This window comes from Homo sapiens, chromosome 7, assembly GCF_000001405.40.
Source record: "Homo sapiens chromosome 7, GRCh38.p14 Primary Assembly".
Lineage (NCBI taxonomy): Eukaryota > Metazoa > Chordata > Mammalia > Primates > Hominidae > Homo > Homo sapiens.
In genome coordinates this window covers 10,461,785-10,484,422 of record NC_000007.14, presented here as the reverse complement: position 1 = coordinate 10,484,422, position 22,638 = coordinate 10,461,785, and the positions used below count along the sequence as shown (strand labels likewise).

At 38.9% G+C, this 22,638-nt stretch overlaps 1 long non-coding RNA gene and 1 pseudogene across 1 annotated transcript in view, besides 2 other annotated features; one reads left to right on the top strand and one right to left on the bottom strand.

The window, feature by feature from the left end:
• The window catches only part of MGC4859 (uncharacterized LOC79150), a 330,125-nt gene that overhangs the window by 295,522 nt on the left and 11,965 nt on the right, over positions 1 to 22,638 (top strand). The gene's annotated exons all lie outside the window — the stretch shown is intronic.
• LOC101154643 (cyclin dependent kinase 2 associated protein 2 pseudogene) lies at positions 7,077 to 8,023 on the bottom strand (annotated as a pseudogene).
• Positions 7,147 to 7,788: an enhancer, noted in NCBI's record as "H3K4me1 hESC enhancer chr7:10516262-10516903 (GRCh37/hg19 assembly coordinates)". NCBI's record gives its function as "activates a minimal SCP1, AML or CMV promoter by ChIP-STARR-seq in naive H9 embryonic stem cells {active_cell/tissue: H9 hESC(naive)}" and the evidence as "EXISTENCE:reporter gene assay evidence [ECO:0000049][PMID:30033119]".
• Positions 18,822 to 19,732: an enhancer, noted in NCBI's record as "NANOG-H3K27ac hESC enhancer chr7:10504318-10505228 (GRCh37/hg19 assembly coordinates)". NCBI's record gives its function as "activates a minimal SCP1, AML or CMV promoter by ChIP-STARR-seq in primed H9 embryonic stem cells {active_cell/tissue: H9 hESC(primed)}" and the evidence as "EXISTENCE:reporter gene assay evidence [ECO:0000049][PMID:30033119]".

Below are 22,638 nucleotides of genomic sequence, written 5' to 3'. Positions count from 1 at the left end.
GTGGTAATTTGTTATGGCAGCAACAGGAAACTAATAGAGTTACTAGAGGAAATGAGCTGAAAAGGTAGGAATTGATGGCCAGAGAGTGAGAATGAGGTTCTTGAGACTGAGATTATGGTGGGAGTGCCATGGTTGGTAATGACAAGGCCCACTTTCAGACCAGTAGTGTTTCAAGTAGGGTGAATGAGAAGAGCACTGAGAAGAGATGAAGGAACTGTGTGACCAAGCTATTAGAAGTGTTACCTATGTAGGTGATAAATTTGGAGGGATAGTATCAAAGACAGAGATACTGAGCCAAGTACATCCATGTTTGCCTTTCTCCAAACCATTCTCCATTCTCTTTGAAGTTCACCTTCTATTATCCTTTTCCCTTGCTTGAAAGAAACTTTTCCGTATCTTCTCATTAATCTTAGGATAAAAGCCAAAATCTGTAATATGGTCCAGAGAGCTATGCATAATCTGGCCTCTGCCTCTTCTCTCTGTGTTACTTTCCCCCAGGCTCGGTGTTTCAGCAACACTGACTTTCCTTCAGTTCCAGGCATGAGTCATGCTCCCCACTTCCTCGGGGGCTTTGTGCTTGCGTACTTTCTGCTTGGCACACCTCTTTATGCCTGCCACCATTGTCTACACTTAGTAAAATTATCCTCATTTTTATCATGTTGGTTCAAATGCTGTGCCTTTAAGGAATTTGTCCGTAATCCAGTGGATTATATCAGACTTTTTATGTTATGCTTTCACAACATTGCATACATTTTTAAATTCATGTATCTCTTTCTTGCTCTGCATATGTGTGTGCATGTATGTGATTGCTTAACTTTTCCAATGAATTGTAAACTCATTGAGAGTAGGGACCTTGTCAGTCTGCTTAATGTTGAAAAAGTAAGAATTTCTCTCTGACAATATTTTTTTACTCCCTTGTTATGAAAACTTCAATTATCAATTCTCACATTGCTATAAGTAATATAATATTTTTAAATCCATCAAAATTCACATCTATTAGAAAATAATAATTTGAAGCTATGATGAGAAACTTTTTTTTTTTTTTTGAGATGGAGTCTCTCTTTATTGCCCAGGCTGGAGTGAAGTAGCGTGATCTCATCTCACTGCAACCTCTACCTGCCGGGTTCAAGCGATTCTCCAGCCTCAGCCTCCCAAGTAACTGGGACTACAGCTGTGCACCACCATGCCTGGCTAATTTTTTCATATTTTTAGTAGAGACAGGGTTTCACCATGTTGGCCAAGCTGTTCTCAAACTCCTGACCTCAAGTGATCCTCCAGCCTCGACCTCTCAAGGTGCTCACCATGCCCGGCATGAGCAATGTTCTTTAGTTGACACTTCATCTATTCAAGGTTATTAAGAACAAGAGATCATTTTAAAATGGTCTCTATTGTAATTTTGATATAAAGAACTTAAACATGGGGTTGTATAGCCCTCATGTTTCATTTCAGTTTAAAAATAGTTCTTTCTATGGCTGTTCATTTATTCCCCATTCCCCATGATTTTATCTGATATGTCTGTGCCAGAAAAATTTGAGATACAATTCTGAAGAAGTATACTTGTTCAGGAAATCTAAACTTTCCTCCTAGAAAATTTTCAGGTCTGAATCAGAGTAGCCGAAATTGCTGGCAAATCCACTGTCTCCACACCATGTCATGGTCTCCAATATCAGCTTTATCAACAACAAAAGTGAAGAATGACAAAGAAAAATGGGGTAGGAGGAATCTAAGGATAAATGTTTCGATGACATATAACCAAATGCAACATAAGAAACTTGTTTGGATTCTGATTCAAGCAACCCAACTGTAAAAAATCATGTACAAGACGATCACAGAATTTGAGCATTGACTGAATATTTAATGATACTGTATTATGCATATATGGTCATATAACAAATTACTCCAAAACATAGCTTAAAATAACAAACACACTATCTCACAGTGTCTGTGGGCCAGGCATCTAGGCATGGCTTATCTAGGTGCCTCCATCTCAAGGTCTCTCGTAAGACTGCAATCAAGGTATCCTCTAGGACTGCAGATATCTGAAGACTTGACTGAGATATCCTGGCTGAGGATCTGCTTCCAAGCTCGCTTATGTGGCTTGTCAGGCTTCAGCTATAATCTGGCTCAGGGACAGAGTCATTAGCCTGCTACACAGGCCTCTCCATAGGGCTTCTCACAATAAGACGGGTTGCTTCTCCCAGAGTTAGGGCTCAGAAAGAGATAGAAAAAATGTGTGTGTGTGTGTGTGAGAGAGAGAGAGACAGAGAGAGAGAGAGAGAAAATATGAATGAGAATGATCAACTATGGCCCATGGAAAGATGTGGAAAATGAGAAATTGAGAGAACAAGAGAAGGTGAGAGAGAAAAAATTCTCAAGATGAAATTTTCAGTCTTTGTAACCTAATCTCAGAGTGATATCCCATTGCATTAGCCATATCTTATTCATTTAGAGGTTCAGGTAACACTCAAGGGGAAGAACAACAACAAAAAGTCTTCGATACCAGGAGGTGAGGATCACTGGGGACCATCTTAGAGGGTTACCTGTGAGATACATTAAAGAATTATTGTTAAATTTTTCCTTAGGTATGATAATAATGTGGTTAAGATATTTTTTATCTTTTATTGATAAATACTAAAATATTTATGGATGAAGTAATATTAAACATTTGTTTCAAAATAATACAATAGGAAGTGGCAAAGTAGATGGGGGTATAAATCAAACAAATAGGGCCAAAAACTGAAGAACATTGAAGCTGGATGTTGAGGATTAATTCTATTATTCCTTTTAATTTTGTGTTTGCTTGAAATTTTTTAAAATAATTTTTTAAATAAAAATATTTTAGTTTACAGCTACTGAATTTCTGTGTTTATTATGCAATAGCTGTTATCTGGGTCAAAGAAAAACAAGTTTATTTAATATGCCCCCTAAACTTCAATAGTAATAAAGTCAACATGCCATGATTTTATAATTGATCTTTATGTTGCTTTATATTTATTCAATCAATGCCGAGTCCAGAAATTTATGATATTTCAACCTATTTACATTAAGGTCTAATCTGTTTAAATAAAAGTTCTGCAGCTGTCATAGCAACTTGAGATGACTACCCTATATTAAAAGCCCCATAAGGCTGAATACTCAGAGTAATGTCATCTTAGAAGAAAATTCGCCAAGTGGTGTTATAATTATTCCCCAAAGTAATTACAAATTAAATTTACATACTACCAGTTAAAGTTGGCTGCATCCTTTAGAGTAAAGAAGTTGAGTGATAACATGTAAAGAATGCTTATTTTAAAAACCCATATATGGTTAGGGTAGAAAAAGATGCATATTTTGATTCTTTAATTCATTTGGTAGATAGACAGGATGTGCTAGTTTTTAATAACACATATTTTTCAGCAGAGTATATAAAGTGACCTTTCTCATAACCCAGAGGCACTAATACTAGAAATATTAGGTTAATAAATCAAAAGAAGTATAAGACTTAAAAAATAGGAGACAAGGCACCTGCTCCTAAAATATATTAACATTTGTCTAAGCAGAATATATTCACAAAAAGACCATATGTGTCACGGCATACCTGTCAACTTTTGCATCACCATTTTGGAATTTGCCTGTCTTCATGATGTTCCTCAAGTTCTCTATGACGCCTTCCCTTATCCGTCAACCAATGGGAATATCTCTCTTCCATATTCCTTCATTGAACTCCATGTCTGTGTCACACATTTATGCGGCAGCATAGTCAATATTTTTTGCTTTGTGTCCTTCTCTAAGAGTATTTTTAATATCTTCTCAGGTCATGGATTAGACTTTTGAAAGCCTGGGCCAGGTCTCTTAACTTTTTGTACCCCTGAAAGGCCTTGTAATATGGGTTCTCAATACATGCGTGTTGAAGGAGTAATGAAATAAAATGATTTGCAAAGCTTTGATATTTATTGACTGAGTTTTATTCCACTGTAGAGTGTGTTCCTGTGTAGTCTGCTCAGTGATGTGTGTTGAACTGTTCTGCACGGGCTCTGTTCAGTTTCTTGGGGAAGATATGTTAGTTGTTAACTCATTTACTTGAAGAGCTCTTTCCTGAGAAATCTTACAGGCTTTTGGGAGCAACATGGGATTAAAATGTTTTAGGCCTCTCTTCCCTCAGTACTTTGCAGGTACTTACTGTGTTGTTGTCTCAGTCTAATTGCTTTAATGCTTTCTCTTAAGATGCTGTGTGAATGAACAATCTGAGATGTATCGGTAAAAATGGTGCAATCTGGTGAGGCAGAGGTGATACTAGAATTATGTTATCAAAGTGACCTTTAAGTGTTCTTTCAAAATTTTCTGTTAGGTAATTTAGTAATAAGTTGAGTTCATTGAGTTCACATGAATTTTTGTTAATTCTTTTTAAAATGATTAACATTTGAATAGTATGTGTTGATATAGCATTTCTACATTGCCTTTATAATTTAAAATATATTTATTATATCTGATGCACTTTATGAGCAGACATTAAAGCATGCTCAATGAACTTACAGATCATTTTAAATTCAGAGTCTTAATAACTGCATGCTTTAATATCTTCTCATAAGAAAATGTGTCAATGTCTGAATATGCAGCTGCTTTTTAAAAAATAAGTAAATATAAAGCAAAAAAAAAATAAATGAACATAAATGCTTTGAAAATATCCTTAAACATTAAAGAAAAATATTGAACCTGAGCTCTTTGGAAAAATGCAGAGAAGCTGTACTCTTTCCATTTGGTTCATGGTTGGAAAAGGCTTGGAGAATGACTGAGAAGCTTCCCTGGGGCTGGAAGAACATCAGGCAGAAGCCTCTAGACTAGGGGGCTGAAGCAAGTGCACTGAGAAGACCCATATTAGAGTCTCCTTGCTATTCTTGAGGAGGACTCTCTCCTGAGGTACTCCCCTGGGGGAAGTCTTGCGGCTTCCAGCCTGTGCAGGCTGGTCAGAGAATCACCCAGTGTCTTGAAGACCGCCATATCTTCATATGTCCAGGAAGTGACTTCCGAGGAATTCACACAGAAGAGCTTATTCAGGCACAGCAAGGTTTGATTCAGGTTCTTCTCATACCATGGAAGCCTTTTTGGCATCCAGGTTATTCTTCCATCAGTGATGGCCTATGAGCTGCTTGGAAGATGGTACAGCTGCCCTGCATGCTTTGGAGCTTCGGGAAACACTCTGACTTTGCTTTTGCCAGCTAACAACTGTCCCTAGACCTCCAGGCATGATGTTGAAATAAAAGCTTAGGGAAGAAATATAGGAGGCCCTCTCTTCCTTTTCAGGCAAGCACATTACATGAGTTTCACTCTCAGGTATATCTAACAATATTCTGGTCAGAGTTCCACTTCCAGGATTATCTAACAATATTCTGAAGACAAACACAATCAACTTTCTACTCTAGATTTAGAATTAGAGCCTTCTACTAGCTAAGGATGGACAGACAGAAATGGAGCTCCTAACCGAAAGTGCTATTTCAAATATAATAATAGGCTAACCAGGATTCTAATACATTTATTGAGTCAAGGGGGTATTGCAATTTTTTTTTCTAGCTAATTACATATCTTGAACACATTCATTTCATCAATGAAAATCATTATTTTATGCTAATTAATAGATGTTCTGGGGATCTATTTGGATAAGTTTGAATCACTTGTATAGCTACCCTGAGCACAGATTTTGAATAAAGATACTTTCAAAAATAAGTAACTCTTCAGCACCACCATGGCCAGTGTAATTATAATATATAAATATTTTAAAGTATAAGACTGACAATATTACATTTGAGTAAATGACTTATAAAAGACATTCAGCCAAAAGAACAAAGTTTGTTGCAAGTTAGGGCTTTTGATTGATAGACTACTCTCTAGTCTCCTCATCTTGATTAGATGTCTTTTTCCCCACTATCTTAAGAACTTACATAGGTACATATCTAGTGAGCTCTTTCACTCTTATTCCTTAGGTCTGTGCTCTGACTACTACCAGCCCACTCAAATGGATCTTATCAAGGTCAATAAGGACTACTATTAATATATTGATAAGTCATTGACCCATACTTGACTCTTATGTTAACCTATCAGTAACACATGACACAGTGAAATTTTTACTCAAATGTCATCTCTTTGAGGCCTTTCTCAGCCACTTGATCTAGAATTCTAAGTCACTGCCTTATTACTTCTCTTCCCACTTCTTTGCCTCTTCTTCTTAGCTGTTATGTGCATTTAATATGCTACAGGTTTTACATATCAGTCCTAGTTATTTTCTTTCTCCTCCCAACCAGAGCATGAGCTCCACGAGGGCTGTAATTTCTGTCTGTTTTGTTCATTGTTTTATCCCTGGTGCCTAGAACAATGCATGACACAAAGGAAGTGATCATTATGCATTTGTTGATTGACTGGATGAATGAAAAATATCATTTGTGGAAACCTAAACCAACATGAACTTGTGGAAAGCAATGTGAGAATGTTTATGTATGTATATAAAGAGGGTTTCAAAAAACTTGTTCATACATTTTTTATTCCAGTGAATTTATATTTAGGAGTCTATCATAAGTAAATGATCAGAGACAAGATGCAAATTCTCAGTCCCTTAAGTATTATCACCACAGCCTACTGGAACACATCCGATAGCCACATGAAAGTGTTTACTACTAACCTGAGATTTGACTACAAACCATTGTTGTATTCCCCATCTCTACAGATGCCATGTGTTGTTTTGCATTATGCTGTGTGTGATAAGATGTTTCACTTTGGTGGGGGTGACGTAAGATGGAGAGCTTCATTCACAGCCTTTGGGAGTTTATGTTTATACAATTTTACGAAAGCAATTTTTAAATCTGTAACAAAAGACTTACAAATATTAAAATTTTTAACACACAAATCCCACTTAGAATTAATCATAAAGCAATACTCATACAGGCAAAAATTTACATACAAGGATAGTCATATAATTATTGATAATGGTTAAAAGTTGAAACCTCAATGTTCAGAAATTAAATGTTATATTTATTCAATGGAATATTTGGTTTCACAGACTAATAATCTGCAAAATGTTCTTGATAAGTGAAAAATCACATTTTTTTTGAGAGCACAACTCCAAATAATCTTTTATTAATATGAAAAGGGCATATTTAGCAAAAGACACACTGAGAAAACAGTCACTGTGGCTCAGGACATAGGGCAGAGAGGTGCCAGGCCTGAGCCCCTGCTGGGAGAGAAGGAGGCTCGGGACAAAGTGGGAGAAGTGCTGGGAAGAGCTGCGTGGTGAGACCACAGAAAGATCCAGTGGGCAACAATGTTGGCAGGTCATGGGTGGGACTCACCGGGACCTACCTGCTAACTCTTGTTTTTAGGGTAGCCGGACCTACCTGCTACCTGCTGCCACCTGGAGTGAGAGCCGCCCCTTGGTTCCTGGAGGGAACCCACCAAGGGACACAGGACTGGAAGCCCAGGATGGCTAGCGCAGCTCGGGATGAAGGCCAGGGAGAAGCGGGTGCTCTGCAGTGGCCAGGAAAGGTCCAGCCCCTGAGGCCGAGGGGCTTCCTGTTTCGTGCGGGCATTGCACTCTGTCTCTGCCAGGCACTCTCTGACTAGGGCCCGGGCATGGATGATACCTCTCTTCAGGCGCTCCATGGTGCTCTTGCTGCCAGCATAGGCAGGCCGGATCTCTTTGCCCTTCTCCTCTATGACCGACAGCAGGTCGTTGTAGGTGCTCTGGGAGCCCTGGGCGCCGGTGGCTTCATCGCCTGCACATAGCCCATGGAAGGCTGTCCAAAGTTGTTAAACAGCGGTCTGAAAGGGGCAACGGCACCTGACACTGAGCCCGACGGAGATGAGACGCTTCGTGACTATGCCCACTTCACGGGCCAGCAAACTGAGGCTCAGGGAGGGTAGGCGGCAGGCCCAGTATTGCAGAACTCATGCTGTCTTCATTTCGAGGTCTCCACCGCCTGGCAGGCGAGCAGGGGTGGAGCTGGATCCTCACCTGTAGGGACCGGGTTGCACGGCCCAGGGGTGCTGGAGCCGGTGGCGAAAAATCACATATCTAAACAAGGAATCCAATTTTATATTAACAATATACATCTTTTAAAAAATATATGTATAGAGAAAGGGGATGAAATCAATAAGTTACAATGTTATCTGTGGAATTTGACATGGGTGATTTTCCTCACTAGAATATTAAGGTAGAATAAAAAATAGAATGGGACAGTAAAAGTCAGGTTCTTGATTGAAAATCTCCAGGTTTCCTTGCCCGACCTTTTACATTTGCACAACACTTGCATGCCACCTTCTGTCAATCGATTGTCCTAACCGCCCTGTGAGGTTGGTAGGTCAAGAATCATTATCTCCAGTTCTTACACATGAGATAATATAGACCCAGAGAGATTAAGTGACTTGCCCAAGGTAACCCCGTTAGAACATGATAGAGCTAAAATTAAAAAAAAAACTCCATCTCTTCCAGTCATATGCTTTCCCCGACATTGTTCTAAACTAATGTGCTAAAAAATTAGAAAAGAGAAAGACAGTGATTGTGTTCTCCTGAAAGCTATTTGAGTGCGCTTCTATTAGTGCCAGACAGCTTTGAAGTCATTGATTGCCCCTGCGAGATGATGAGATTGTGCTATACGGAACTTGGCCATCATTACCATGTGATTTTCAATTAAGAAGCAAATCAAAAGTATCCCAGTGTCATGGTCATAACCTGAAGGGTTCAGACAAGCTACTAGCTGCATACAAATCAGGGAGGACAAATCATTTGTCTGTGTGTGCTGACTGTCGTTTTTCAGAAGAAATGGTCTTTCACACTTGTGGCCAGGCTATTTTATTTTTCATACTATGGATGTTGTCATTTGTGAATTAGGTCTTTAACTTAATTTTGACTCTTGGGAAAACTTATTCCAGAATGTTCATTGAACAATCACTACAATGATACAGAATGTGAAAGTGTATTATTGAGAACAGAACAACTTTGAGAAGTTCAGTAAGAAGGGTGCTGGGGAAAGTATAAAAAACTGTGGACTTAAAGATATGGGATCAATACAGCCAAGCTGAGGGTCCAACTGTCTAACCTTCAGCAAGTCACAGCCACTAAACTTCATAATTCATAAATCAGTGCTATTAATCTCTATCTCATAAAGTAGTGAAGACTAAAATAAAATAACTTATGCCAAAGGATCTAGCCCTATAATAAAGTATAAATTTGCTGAATACATTTTTGTTTTGTTTTGTTTCAATGTAGTGATATAGAAACAGTATCCTCTAGGATGACATTAGCTGGAGACTTTAAGGGTCAGCACCTTACTGTGAGAAAGGGCAACTTCATGAAGTAAATGTGATTGGTGCTATGTGATGTGCCCTTATGAATTGGCCACTAAGGAGGACGTGAAGGAGCCACTTTGACTTTTATTTTTGAGTGATGCACTTGACATAATTTAGTTTCAGGGTCTCCCTGGGTGTCATGAATGAAATAATTTGATGACCATGATGTCATGCTCAGTAATCATTCATGAATCCTCCTTTAGGACATCTAGAAACTCTTACCCAAAAATCAAAGAAGACAAGTGATTATCAATTTCTCAGAATGAATTAACTTTTAATATTCATACTAATGTCACAGCACATAAAGATGCTTCTTGTGGTTAAGTTTGAAGATGCAGAAATCCTTGTCAAGTTACTGAGCCAGAGATGTGCTGTGATCATCTGCTCTTTGTCTTTGTTCTCAGTGCTATGCCTACTGGCTACTTGGCAGGGTGTATCCTAGGTATTCCTTTGTAGAGTATATGTCCTAGCTCTGTGTTCTAGGTTCATTCGCTCACTCGTTCATTTAACAAATAGCTCTTGGGTGCCTACTATATACTAGGCACAGTTTTCTGAACTGGGGATACATAAAAAAAAAAATCCATAGCTTTATGGAGCTTATATTCTAGTATGAGTGACTAAAAGTTAGCAAGTAAAATAACCAGGATGTTAGCAAAGGTGTCCAGGTTAGTGTTGCCAAACCAGTAAACATAGCCATATAAGAGACTTGCCTCAAAAAGTTATTTAATGATAAAATGTTTGAAAATCCTCATGTAAAACAAATATTTTCATGTCAAAATTCTACCACTGTCAACATGTTGAAACATGACGCGATTCTAATTTGTATCCAGAAGGCGTGGTTTAGGACTGGTCACAAGTGAAATATCTTAAGTATTTGTGTGGATAACCTTGGCTTTAGTCACTATCATTTTGTACATAGTGTATAATAAAGCAAGCTCTTTTTCTGCAGCTTCCAGTTGACCTTCTACAGAGCTTCTACAGAGTTGTTCCAAAAATGTTTGAATAGTGGAAGTCTCATTAGAAGCAGCATGTGACATCATCTTAAAAGCTGACCACTTTCCAGGGTATTTGGACATTTGTTTAAAACAACAAAATTAATATCTATCTTATGGTGTTATCATCATCGAATGAATGTCATCAAATGTCAATCTTACGATAGCAGCCCCATTCAGTAGATGGTAATACTGGGGCAGTGTTGTTCCTAAGCTCATAGTCATCAATGTAAACATTGCCAATATTCCAAGGGTTTGGGAAGATTAATATTAGATGAGGCTAAGAAGCGTGGGCTGAACTATAAAAATATCTTGTTTATAACAAGGTCCGATAACAGGACCTGGCCTTGACTCACTTGGAATGTCTGGGTGGACATCAGAACAAATTGCACTATTAGAATTTGATTAAAAAGGCTCATTTGCTGCTTAAATTTGAACATTACCCAGATGACTAGAAAATAGTGTGGAAAAATATTCAACTCTCTGCTTTTGCAATATCTCCCATTGAATGTCATAATGGATGAATGAGCATTTCAGGAACAAATACTGGCAGTTAGAAATACTGTGTCCTATAAGTCATTTGAGCTATTTGTGGGAGGTGTGAGTACCTAAAAAAATTCAGGTTTTGGTAAGAAGGAGGAAGGGTTAACAGATGGTAGGTAAACAACACACCCAGCTGCACACTCCAAATTAAAATTGAAGCCATCACACATTTTGTTTGCGTATGCTACTAATAGTTGTTTTGAAATATAATAAATTGTCCTGCAGGGTCAGCATAACAATCTAGTTGGCACAATTTGGACTTAGTTGTATTAATTATGTGTTTGTTGATGTTTCATATATATATATGTGATATATATGATATATATGATATATAGATATATATGATATATATGATATATATATGATATATGTGATATATATATGATATATATGATATATATATGATAAAGGACAAATAAGAGAAAACATCAGGCTTTTTATAAGTTCTGAGTTAGGTGATTACCTTTCCTATCATGTTTCCTAAATGAAGCTGCAATATTATTTTGCTGCACGCATTCTCGAATGAGCTCCGTTGTTGGGATATATATATATATGCTTTGAAGAAAAGACTCAAGTACTAGTGTTTACTCAGTAATAGAAAGCCCTATTCACAACACCAACAAACACATAATTAATAACCAGGATGATGCTAAGGAATTAAAGACATTTTCTATTCCCTTGACTATATTTACTAATACCATTCTTGTTCTGTTGCTATTTGTTATGTAACAGATCAAATATATGACTTAGCCCCCGTATATGTTTCTAACTTAAAAAAGAGTGTGAACAAAGTCAAGTGATTGCGATTTGCTGCTTTAAGTGTTGAGCATTTTCTGCTGGTTCTTCTTCTCTTTCACAGTGTTTCTGGGCACTAAAGTAAAATTCTGACTGAGTTCATGTTGCTGAGAATAGCCTCTAATTATTTGTTTTTATTATGTCTCTCACACCTGACATTGTAACAAGTATTTTGAGGTTATAATGATGCCACTATTGAAAATTATAGTTTCAGGGCCAAGACAAAGGGTTGAGAGCTGTTAAATCCCTGAGCCACAAAGAAACAGTATTAATGAAGATATCCCCACTTGCAATATTACTAAATTTTATCTAATAGACTGTGTTTTTCCAGTGTTTCCTAATGATGGCCCTTGCACACTTTTATAACACTTGGAATGAACCTTATACTCACTGCCAGGGAAAGCCAGGTGAGCCGCTGTGTGCAGAGCAGAATGAGGTACTACAGTTGACTGTCACAACTGCTGTGATTTCCTCTGGAAATGATGGCTTCCTAGTTGCACAAACTGACATACTGTGTCACACAAAATTATAATGTCTTCCCTGTCTAGCCAACTACATACCTGTCACCTCTAAAACCGTTAAAATCTGTATTTATGTAGGGTATTCAGTTTTACTTTTTGCTTTGTAATGTGTCTCGACTGTATAGAGCTGTAAAACAAGGTTCCAGTGTATCCATTGGTAATTTTTATTTTCCATCTGTTGAAGCCATTTGAAAAAGCCGATGGTCTCTTACTAGCTCAAACTCAGAGCTTGGAAAATAATAGTTTATAACATTCCCATGGTGCTTTTTAAGAGTCTTTTTCTTCCTTGGTACTTAATTTTTTTCCTTCTCTGGGTGACAGTTTTTTACTTCCAGCATAGAACTGTATGTGTTTGGCTGTCTCTTTTTTAGATTTAATGCCACACGCTGCATTCCACTGCTACAACATGTGTGTACAATAAATTTTCTTGTAAACTGAGGATTTCAAGGCTAGAATTCTGTCAAGCTTATATTTTCAGAGCTCTTGAAATATTTTCCACTTAGCAACCTCTTTGCATTACTTGGAAAGCTTTTATGGGGTTTGTCAGTCAAAAGGATGACTCTAACCAAAGAAAGAACAATTCAGAGAATGATTTTGAGAATTAGTATTAGCTTCACAGATGATTCAATGGCTGTAACAACTTGCATTGGAAGTGTTCAAAAGGCAAATATTTTGCCTCCATTTACATCGTGTATGCTAAGGGAGATAATTGCTTATCACATATCCAGATTTTGTCTATTTTCTAAAACTCAGTGTTACAGTTACTATTTACCCCATTTTGAGCTGATTTTTACAGGAACAGAATATAAAACATGGATTAGTGGTGACAAGATGACATAAAGGTGGTTGAGTACAGATATATGTGTATATACCCAAATCCTGCTCTGAGTCATTGTGTTCTTTTTTTTTTTTTTTTTAAATCTAACTAAAAGACTGAAGTGAGAATAATGTTTTCAAAGATAACTGTATCTCTGTCTGTGTTTCAGAATTACTTGGGTCACTTTCTACATTGACACTGGCTTGCCCAGAATCCAGGAGCACATACTGCTGATCCTATCAGTAGTTATGGAAGCAATATTAATGGGAACATTATTAATTTATGAAGATTTCCAGTGACACATATGCACTCTTTGGCCAACAAAGAGTGTGTGTGTGTGTGTGTGTGTGTGTGTGTGTGTGTGTGTGTAAGAAAGAGAAAAAGAAAGAGGCAGAGAGATGGAGAGGCAGAGAATACAGCATTGCTGGCTGCACTCAGCCAGTTGACCAGGGTAATGGTGGCTCTGTAAGGGGCATCAAGACCTGGCCTTATACCTGAAATGATGCCTGACTATGAATAAGGTGTAGGACAAGATTCAGTGTTTTCCCCTGGATGTTTAAACTGCATCTTAGTTTTTTTCTTGGTCCCCATTCCTATAATGGGGATTCCTATAATGCAAGCTCCCCATTCATATCCACCTTGGGTATTTTATTTAAGTAGCTCTCCACCTTCATCTCAATCCTGAATTGCTATTTGGAAACTTGTCAATGATAATGGCTAATATTTACAGAACACGTTTTGAATGACAAGGATAGCTCTAGATCATTTATATGCATTGTTTTATTTCATTGTCTCAATTATCTTGTGAGTTTCCTACAAGGAACTTTTCTAAAGGTCTCAAGAGACAGTAATTGGCAGAATATGGAATTAATGTCGTGAATGTCTTCATGAACTTTTTATTTAGACCACAAGCCCTAGTGTTCCTAAGATGTGAAGTGTATTTTAATTTTAATCAGTATCTCTTATGTCAGACTGAAGTCTTGCTGCTGAGCCTATGTTGATTAGATAAATATTTTCTAGCCATGAAGGGATCTGGAGTGACTATTTCCCTGGAATTTTGAGTATTAACCATTGCCTACCCATGTCTTGAGCTCCCATCATGCCTTCTTACACCTCAAGTCTATGTTAATCTGTGCTACTCCATGCTTTGCCTTCTTTGATCATCAGTGTTAGCTCCTACCCCAATCGATTTCCCTCAAAGTCACATTTCCGTATCTATGGTCACACACAGGTGAGAGCCAACAAATATGTCATTTGTGTAATACAATTTATTTAGCATTCTGAATGAAAACCCATGGATGCACATGTGACATTATATTCTAATTCAGAGCACATCAAGTATAATCTTTTTTGTACACAAGTTATCCTTTCATAAGAAATTCTAAGACAGAATTTTAGATGAGATAGTGCATACCACCATCCTATTTTGACTCCAAAAGTCTTTATTATAATGTTCCATTTTTATTTTAACTAATATAGATATTTATCTACAATTGTCTCAATTTTATATTTGGAAAAACCATTTACATGTGATAAAGAACAATTACTGAATACTTGACTACTCACATATATACGTGTTTCTTATTTAGGGAACATATATTACTCTGGTGACAGGGTCCAGTGCCACTGTGACCAGTCCTCTTGTCTCGTTCGTCTTACCGAGAGTAGACTGCCGTGATTCTGTTGAAATATGTCACATTCCTTATACCCTTATTTTGAGGGAGAAAGCAGAATTCCTTAAAGTACATTTCATAGATCACTAGTAGAGGTGCCTGAGGGAAGATGTGTCATGGCGATATATTCAGAAATTCTTGTATAATATATCCACAGTCTTCTTAGAGATTCCCAGATAACTTTAATATTTTAAAGGCTCTGAGAAGTCCTGATGAATGAAATATCTTCACTGTTCAGTATACTTATTTGGTCACAGAATTCTCTTTTCATATGATAAGCGTTATCCTGTAGAACTGAGGTTGCATATAGCATATTTTGATAAGATAAATGCTATTCTAGAAACTTTATATTAATTGGATTAAGCTGGAAAACTTAACTAGTCTCTAGGTTCTTCTACTTGACTGGCACAAGTGTAGGAAAAAGGCTGTGAGTTGTACATCAATAAAATTACTCATAATGCTACTCAATGCTTACTGTTATAATTTTCAAAATTTAAAAAGACCACGTGGATTCCATTTCAGCCAAACAGAATGATAATTGAAAAATTAAATTTACTGGAGATTAAATTGATTCTGGGAAATCTTGGTTTGATACTTCCATCCTAGAGCACTTACAGGATGTACATAGAAACCCGCATAGTTGCAAGTAGAGTGCACCGACCAGTCGACGGCCTCCAGCCATTCAGGTGAGAAACAGGCCTGTGTACCCTTGGTGTTCCACTTCAGCTGTTATTATGATTCTCTTAGGCTGGTGGTTATCAGGTCAAAGAAGCAATACGGCTGTAAGTCATACTCAAATAAGTTGAAAGATTATAGACAGAAATAAATTTTAGCTCACAGGGAAAAATTTGATGAAGCATTAGGAAAATAAAGCTCGTAACTACTGAGTGATTTGGTTTTTCTCCTCCCCCTTTATTAATCTATAGTTTTCCTCTGAGTTAAATCCTGTGATACTTTAACAAATATTATTGATTCTTATTGCTAGTTTAGCATGTTTATTTATCAGTCAACATTTAATACATATTTATAAAACACCTCCTATGTACCTTGCAAAGAGATACAATAATAATCAAGACACAGCCTCTGTCCTCTCTCATGAAACACACAGTCTACTAGGAAGACAACCAGTTGTCAATACTCCCTCTGTTGACGTGATATGCATGTGGAAGGTACGGGCAGGACAAAGGAGGGATTATTAACCCTGTCCTACATTTGGAAATTTAAAATACTTGATTGTAAAGGATGAGGATGACTAAGCCAGGTAAACAAAGGAGAAAGAAACATTTTATGTGTGGAAAGCAACACTTGCTGAGGCATTGCTGTACTGAAGAGCAAAGTGTTAAGCGATCAGCAAGTATCATAGTATTGCTGAAGCCTCAGGAGTGCTGATAGGAGTGAAAGTAGATAAAGCTGGAGCCAAATTATGAAGGCTCTTTCCTGTTAAGCAAAGCAGTTTTCACTTTACTGCAGGTGATGGGGGAGCTTCTGATGGGTTTTAAACTTTGAAGGCAGTCTGGATGTTTGGTACCCTCTTAGCCTTCCCCAAAATTATAATCTATACTCTACTATTTCATGTATCTATGCCTTCCAATACTAAATTGTCTTCTGTTTTTTTCTTCCACAAATGACAACAGCATAGGAGAGCTGCTTTTCTACTACTTAAACTTTCAGTGTGTAATATCATCTTTGCCTTCTTTCTGTTGTGGTATATCTACTTGCCCTTCTAATAAATTGATTTGTTAGCATAACTGAGATGGTTATTTGACATGCAAGTGATAAACAATAAGAGATGATAAAATATTTCTCACAGGATTTAAGGTCCTTATCTCAAATGTCCTCAATTTCACTTTAAGAATCTTATTAAACTTGGATGCTAGACCATGCATGAAGGATAATATGTCTTGCTGTTAGTAAAATGAGTGCTGTTTCCGTGGTAATCACCTTAGATTGGCTCAGAACAGCGTACCCACTTCTGTGGCTGCATGGAGAGAACACTGTTGCTTAGTATGACAATGTCAATGGAATATGCCATTCTATTAATCTCCAGCCCTGGGATACAAAATTTCCTACATAATGTGGTGATCAGCCATTTCTGTTATGATTTTATGGCAAAGGCCAACTGGCTAATGCTTTAATTATTGAGGTGATATTTTCACAAGGTTACAGCACAGAATCCTTAGGAGGATGTTTTTTCATATCTCAAGGACAATAAGACTGTCTTGGGGGACATTGGGATGTTTGAGATTTGGGGTAGTAGCCATTTAAAAATTTTTTTTCAAAATTTAAGTTGTTTTGATTATTAAAATCTTTGAGGAAATGTGCAAAACAAAGCAAGTATTTAAAAACTACCTATAATCCTACCACCCAGAGAAAACCATTATTAAAATATTTAGTACTTTCCTCTATTAATGCACATATCCAGTTCCATGCCAATATTCATATTTTATTCTTGTGGCCATGTCCGGTAAAATAAGAAGAATGACACAAATGTTATTGAGCCCACAATATGTCTAAAGTATTATTCTCAAATCTCTCTGTGTATTTTCTCATAGAGTCCTCACAAAACTATTTCTTATATATTATTATTACATTTTACACATGAGGAACTCAGAAAAAGATTAAGTGATCTACCGCAGTCACGCAGCTTGTCAAGTGATGGAGCCACATTCAAACTCAAGCTTCAAAGCCCAAGCCATAAGGAACATGCTTTGTTTCTATGTATTCACAAGTAAATATACATAGGGGCAGTAGAACGTTTTATTTTATTTATTTATTTATTTTTTTATAATTCCATCTTTGTTTTTTTTTCTTTTATTATTATACTTTAAGTTTTAGGGTACATGTGCTCATTGTGCAGGTTAGTTACATATGTATACATGTGCCACGCTCGTTTTAAAAGCATATATTTAAAACTAATGGCAATTTTATACTACACAGTTTCATTCAGCTGTTTAATTCCTCCTTGCTAGTAGTTGAAAGTTGCATGTCCCTAGAAATGCTGTGTAATGATTTACTGTCATGGAACTCTGCTTGACGTACACAATAAGGATATAAATATGTTGCCTAACCTACTATTTTTAATACTGGAATTTGCTTAAAATAAATTTCTAACCTTGTACATTTTCATTATTATATTAACCTGGGGAAAAATTCTTTGTAAAGATATTTAATTAAAATCCTTATACTAGACAGTATTATTCCATTCTTACATAGCTGTAAAGAAATACCCGAGACTGGGTAATTTATAAAGAAAAGAGGTTTAAGTCTTTGCCGCCGCGCCAGCGAGCGCCGCCCGGGAGGCAGCGGCTGGAGGAGCGGACGGGCCCCGCGGGGCCCGAGGGCAAGGAGCAGCCGCCTGCCTTGGCCTCCCAAAGTGCCGAGATTGCAGCCTCTGCCCGGCTGCCACCCCGTCTGGGAGGTGAGGAGTGTCTCTGCCTGGCCGCCCATCGTCTGGGATGTGAGGAGCCCCTCTGCCTGGCTGCCCAGTCTGGAAAGTGAGGAGCGTCTCTGCCCGGCCGCCATCCCATCTAGGAAGTGAGGAGCGCCTCTTCCCAGCCGCCATCACATCTAGGAAGTGAGGAGCGTCTCTGCCCGGCCGCCCATCGTCTGAGATGTGGGGAGCGCCTCTGCCCCGCCGCCCCATCTGGGATGTGAGGAGCGCCTCTGCCCGGCCGAGACCCCGTCTGAGAAGTGAGGAGCCTCTCCGCCCGGCAGCCACCCCATCTGGGAAGTGAGGAGCGTCTCCGCCCGGCAGCCACCCCGTCCGGGAGGGAGGTGGGGGGGGGGTCAGCCCCCCGCCCGGCCAGCCGCCCCATCCGGGAGGGAGGTGGGGGGTCAGCCCCCCCGCCCGGCCAGCCGTGCCATCCGGGAGGGAGGTGGGGGGGTCAGCCCCCCGCCTGGCCAGCCGTGCCATCCGGGAGGGAGGTGGGGGGGTCAGCCCCCCGCCCGGCCAGCCCCTCCGTCCGGGAGGTGAGGGGCGCCTCTGCCCGGCCGCCCCTACTGGGAAGTGAGGAGCCCCTCAGCCCGGCCAGCCACCCCGTCCGGGAGGGAGATGGGGGGGTCAGCCCCCCCACCCGGCCAGCCGCCCCGTCGGGTAGGGAGGTAGGGGGGTCAGCCCCCCGCCTGGCCAGCCGCCCCGTCTGGGAGGGAGGTGGGGGGGTCAGCCCTCCGCCCGGCCAGCCGCCCCGTCTGGGAGGTGAGGGGCGCCTCTGCCCAGCCGCCCCTACTGGGAAGTGAGGAGCCCCTCTGCCCGGCCAGCCGCCCCGTCCGGGAGGGAGGTGGGGGGGTCAGCCCTCCGCCCGGCCAGCCGCCCCGTCTGGGAGGTGAGGGGCGCCTCTGCCCGGCCGCCCCTACTGGGAAGTGAGGAGCCCCTCTGCCCGGCCAGCCGCCCTGTCCGGGAGGGAGGTGGGGGGGTCAGCCCTCCGCCCGGCCAGCCGCCCCGTCTGGGAGGTGAGGGGCGCCTCTGCCCGGCCGCCCCTACTGGGAAGTGAGGAGCCCCTCTGCCTGGCCACCACCCCGTCTGGGAGGTGTGCCCAACAGCTCATTGAGAACGGGCCAGGATGACAATGGCGGCTTTGTGGAATAGAAAGGCGGGAAAGGTGGGGAAAAGATTGAGAAATCGGGTGGTTGCCGTGTCTGTGTAGAAAGAAGTAGACATGGGAGACTTTTCATTTTGTTCTGCACTAAGAAAAATTCCTCTGCCTTGGGATCCTGTTGATCTGTGACCTTACCCCCAACCCTGTGCTCTCTGAAACATGTGCTGTGTCCACTCAGGGTTAAATGGATTAAGGGCGGTGCAAGATGTGCTTTGTTAAACAGATGCTTGAAGGCAGCATGCTCGTTAAGAGTCATCACCAATCCCTAATCTCAAGTAATCAGGGACACAAACACTGCGGAAGGCCGCAGGGTCCTCTGCCTAGGAAAACCAGAGACCTTTGTTCACTTGTTTATCTGCTGACCTTCCCTCCACTATTGTCCCATGACCCTGCGAAATCCCCCTCTGTGAGAAACACCCAAGAATTATCAATAAAAAAATAAATTTAAAAAAAAAAAAAAAAAACAACCAAAAAAAAAAAAAAAAAAAGAAAAGAGGTTTAATTGGTTCATGGTTACATAGGCTATACAGGAAGCACAATGCTGGCATGTGCTTGGCTTCTGGGGGGCCTCAGGAAGCTTCCAATCATGGCGGAAGGCAAAGGGGAGCAGGTACTTCACATGGCTGGAGCAGGAGGAAGAGAGGGTGGAGGTGCCACACACTTTTAAACAATCAGATCTTTTGAGAACTTATATTGTGTGAACAGCACTAAGGGGATGGTGCCAAACCATTCATGAGAACTGCCCCCGCCCCGCCCCGCCCCACAATTCAATCACTTTCCACCAGGCCCCACCTCCAACACTGAGGATTACAATTCGACATGACATTTGGAGGGGACACAGTTCCAAATCGTATCACAGACCATATTTAGATAATAGGCAAAACAGAAATTGTGAACTCTAAAAATTAGTATCAGTATCAATTATTTTATGTGATGGGGTTCACTTTTGAGTTATTTTCATTGAGGCATAATCTGAGTTTTAAAAATGTAAACATGCATGCAACCACTTGCATATGAATTCCATCATCCAAGTAGGTTCCTTTGTGCCTATTCCCAGGCAATCCCCTACACATCCTCCAGAAGTAATCACATCCTGATGTCAATTACTGTGGATTAGTTTTGTCTGTTCTAACATGGAGTCACACAGCAGGCACTCTTTTGTGTATTTAATGTCTTGGTGTTATGTTGAAGAATCAGTAAGTACTATAACAGGAGTCATGAACTACACACAGGTTGTAGGCCAAATTCTGTCATTTGCCTTCTTTTGTAAATAAGTTTTATTGAAAAACAGCCAAACTCATTCCTTGATATATTTTCTGTGGTTTCTTGTACATTTCAACAGGAGAGTTAAGTATGTGAGACAGAGATCATTGGTCTGCAAAGTTTAAAGTATTTATTTATTATCTGTGTCTTTACAGAAAAGTTTCCAAATCCCTATAATGACTAAAACACAAGAGTGCTGAGAGAAGTACTGGCAGATACAACTTGAACCTGATTATGGTCCTTGCCTGCTAGCATTTTTCACTTTATCCTAAAGGCAACTGGAAGTTTCTGATGGATTTTAAGTGCAAAGATGAGGCTTTGTTTCACTAAGCATGTTTTGAGACTCATTAATGTTGTTCCTTATATCACTAATTAGTTTCTTTTTATTGCTGAATAGTGTTCCATTATATGAGTATATTATTCTTTGTCAATTGATATTTGCATTGCTTCACCATTTTTACTATCATAAATAACCCTACTGTGAGCATTCTTGTATAAAATGATTTTGTGGACATATGTTTTCATTATTTCAGTAAATACCCAGGAATGGAATTGCTGCATTATAGGATAAGTAGATGTGTAACTTTATGAGAAATTTCTAAGTCATTTTACAAAGTGGCTTTACCATTTTACACTTTTATCAACAATACATGAAAGCTCCACATTTTTTCTAAAATGTGATGGTAGTGTCAGTATTTAATTTTACTAATTCTGGTGAATGTGTAGTGGTACCTTATGAGAGTTTCTATTTATATTTTATTGATATCTGATGATGCTGAACACATTTTAATGTGTTCATTGGCTGTTTGTACATATTATTTTGTGAAGTGTCTGGTCATGTCTTTTACTCATTTTCTTTATTATTACTAAAATATTTACTAGGTTTTATTTACTTGCAATAGGTATTATTTGTTTTAAATTTTAGTTTTTTAATTGGAAATTGTCAAATTATAGTTGTGTATATTTACAGGGTACAAAGCAATGTCATAATTTATGAATACAATGTAGAAAAATTAAATCAAGCTAATTAACACATTCACTTAAAATATTTATCTTTTTTGTGGTGATAATATTTGAAATTTACTCTCAGCAATTTTGAAATGTGGAATATATTATTAGTTATGATATCACGCTGTGTAATATATCTCAAAGTAAAAAAAAATACTTATTTTTCTGTCTAATGAAGTTTTTCTACCCTTTCACCGTCATCTCCTTATCCCTCTCATCCCCCTCACTCCGTAGTCTCTGATAACAAAAAATTTGCTCTGCTTCTTTGAGTTCAATTGTTTCAGATTCTACATGTAAGTGAGAACATGCAGTATAGTGTTTGTATTTCCGTGCCTGGCCTATGTCACTTCGCATAATGTTCTCCAATTCTAACCGTATTGTCACAAATGACAAAATTTTTTTCTTTTCTAAGGCTAAATGGTATTCCATTGCATGTATATATATGACATTTTCTTTTTCCATTCATTTGTTGATGAATACTTAGGTTGATCCCACAACTTAGCTGTTGTAAATAGTGCTGCAATAAATATGGGTGTGCAAATATCTCTTCAACATACTAATTTTAAGTCTTTTGCATAAATACTCAGAAATGAAAGTGCTAGATTATATGGTCATTCTATTTTTAGTGTTTTTGTGGAGCTTCCTTATAATTTTCCATAATGGCTGTCCAGTCTACATTGTTTAGTGATGGGGATATGTTATGACAAATGTATTGGTAGATGATTCTGTCATTGTGTAGACATCACAGAGTGTACTTACAAAAACCTCGATAGTACAGCCGACTTCACACTTGGCTATGTGGTACAGCCTATTGTTCCTAGCTATAAACCAATACAGAATATTACTGTACTGAATACTGTGGACAATTGTAACACAGTGGAAAGTGTTTGTGTATCTAAATAATCTAAACAGCAATGATACAGTAAACATATGGTATATAAGATAAAAAACAGGATACATCTACATAGGGCACTTACCATAAATTTAGTTTGCAGGACTGAAAGTTGCTCTGGATGTCAGTGAGTGATGAGAGAGTGTGAAGGTTTAGAACATTACTGTCCACTGCTGTACACTTTATACACACTCACTTATGCAAATCTAAATTTATATTAAAATTTT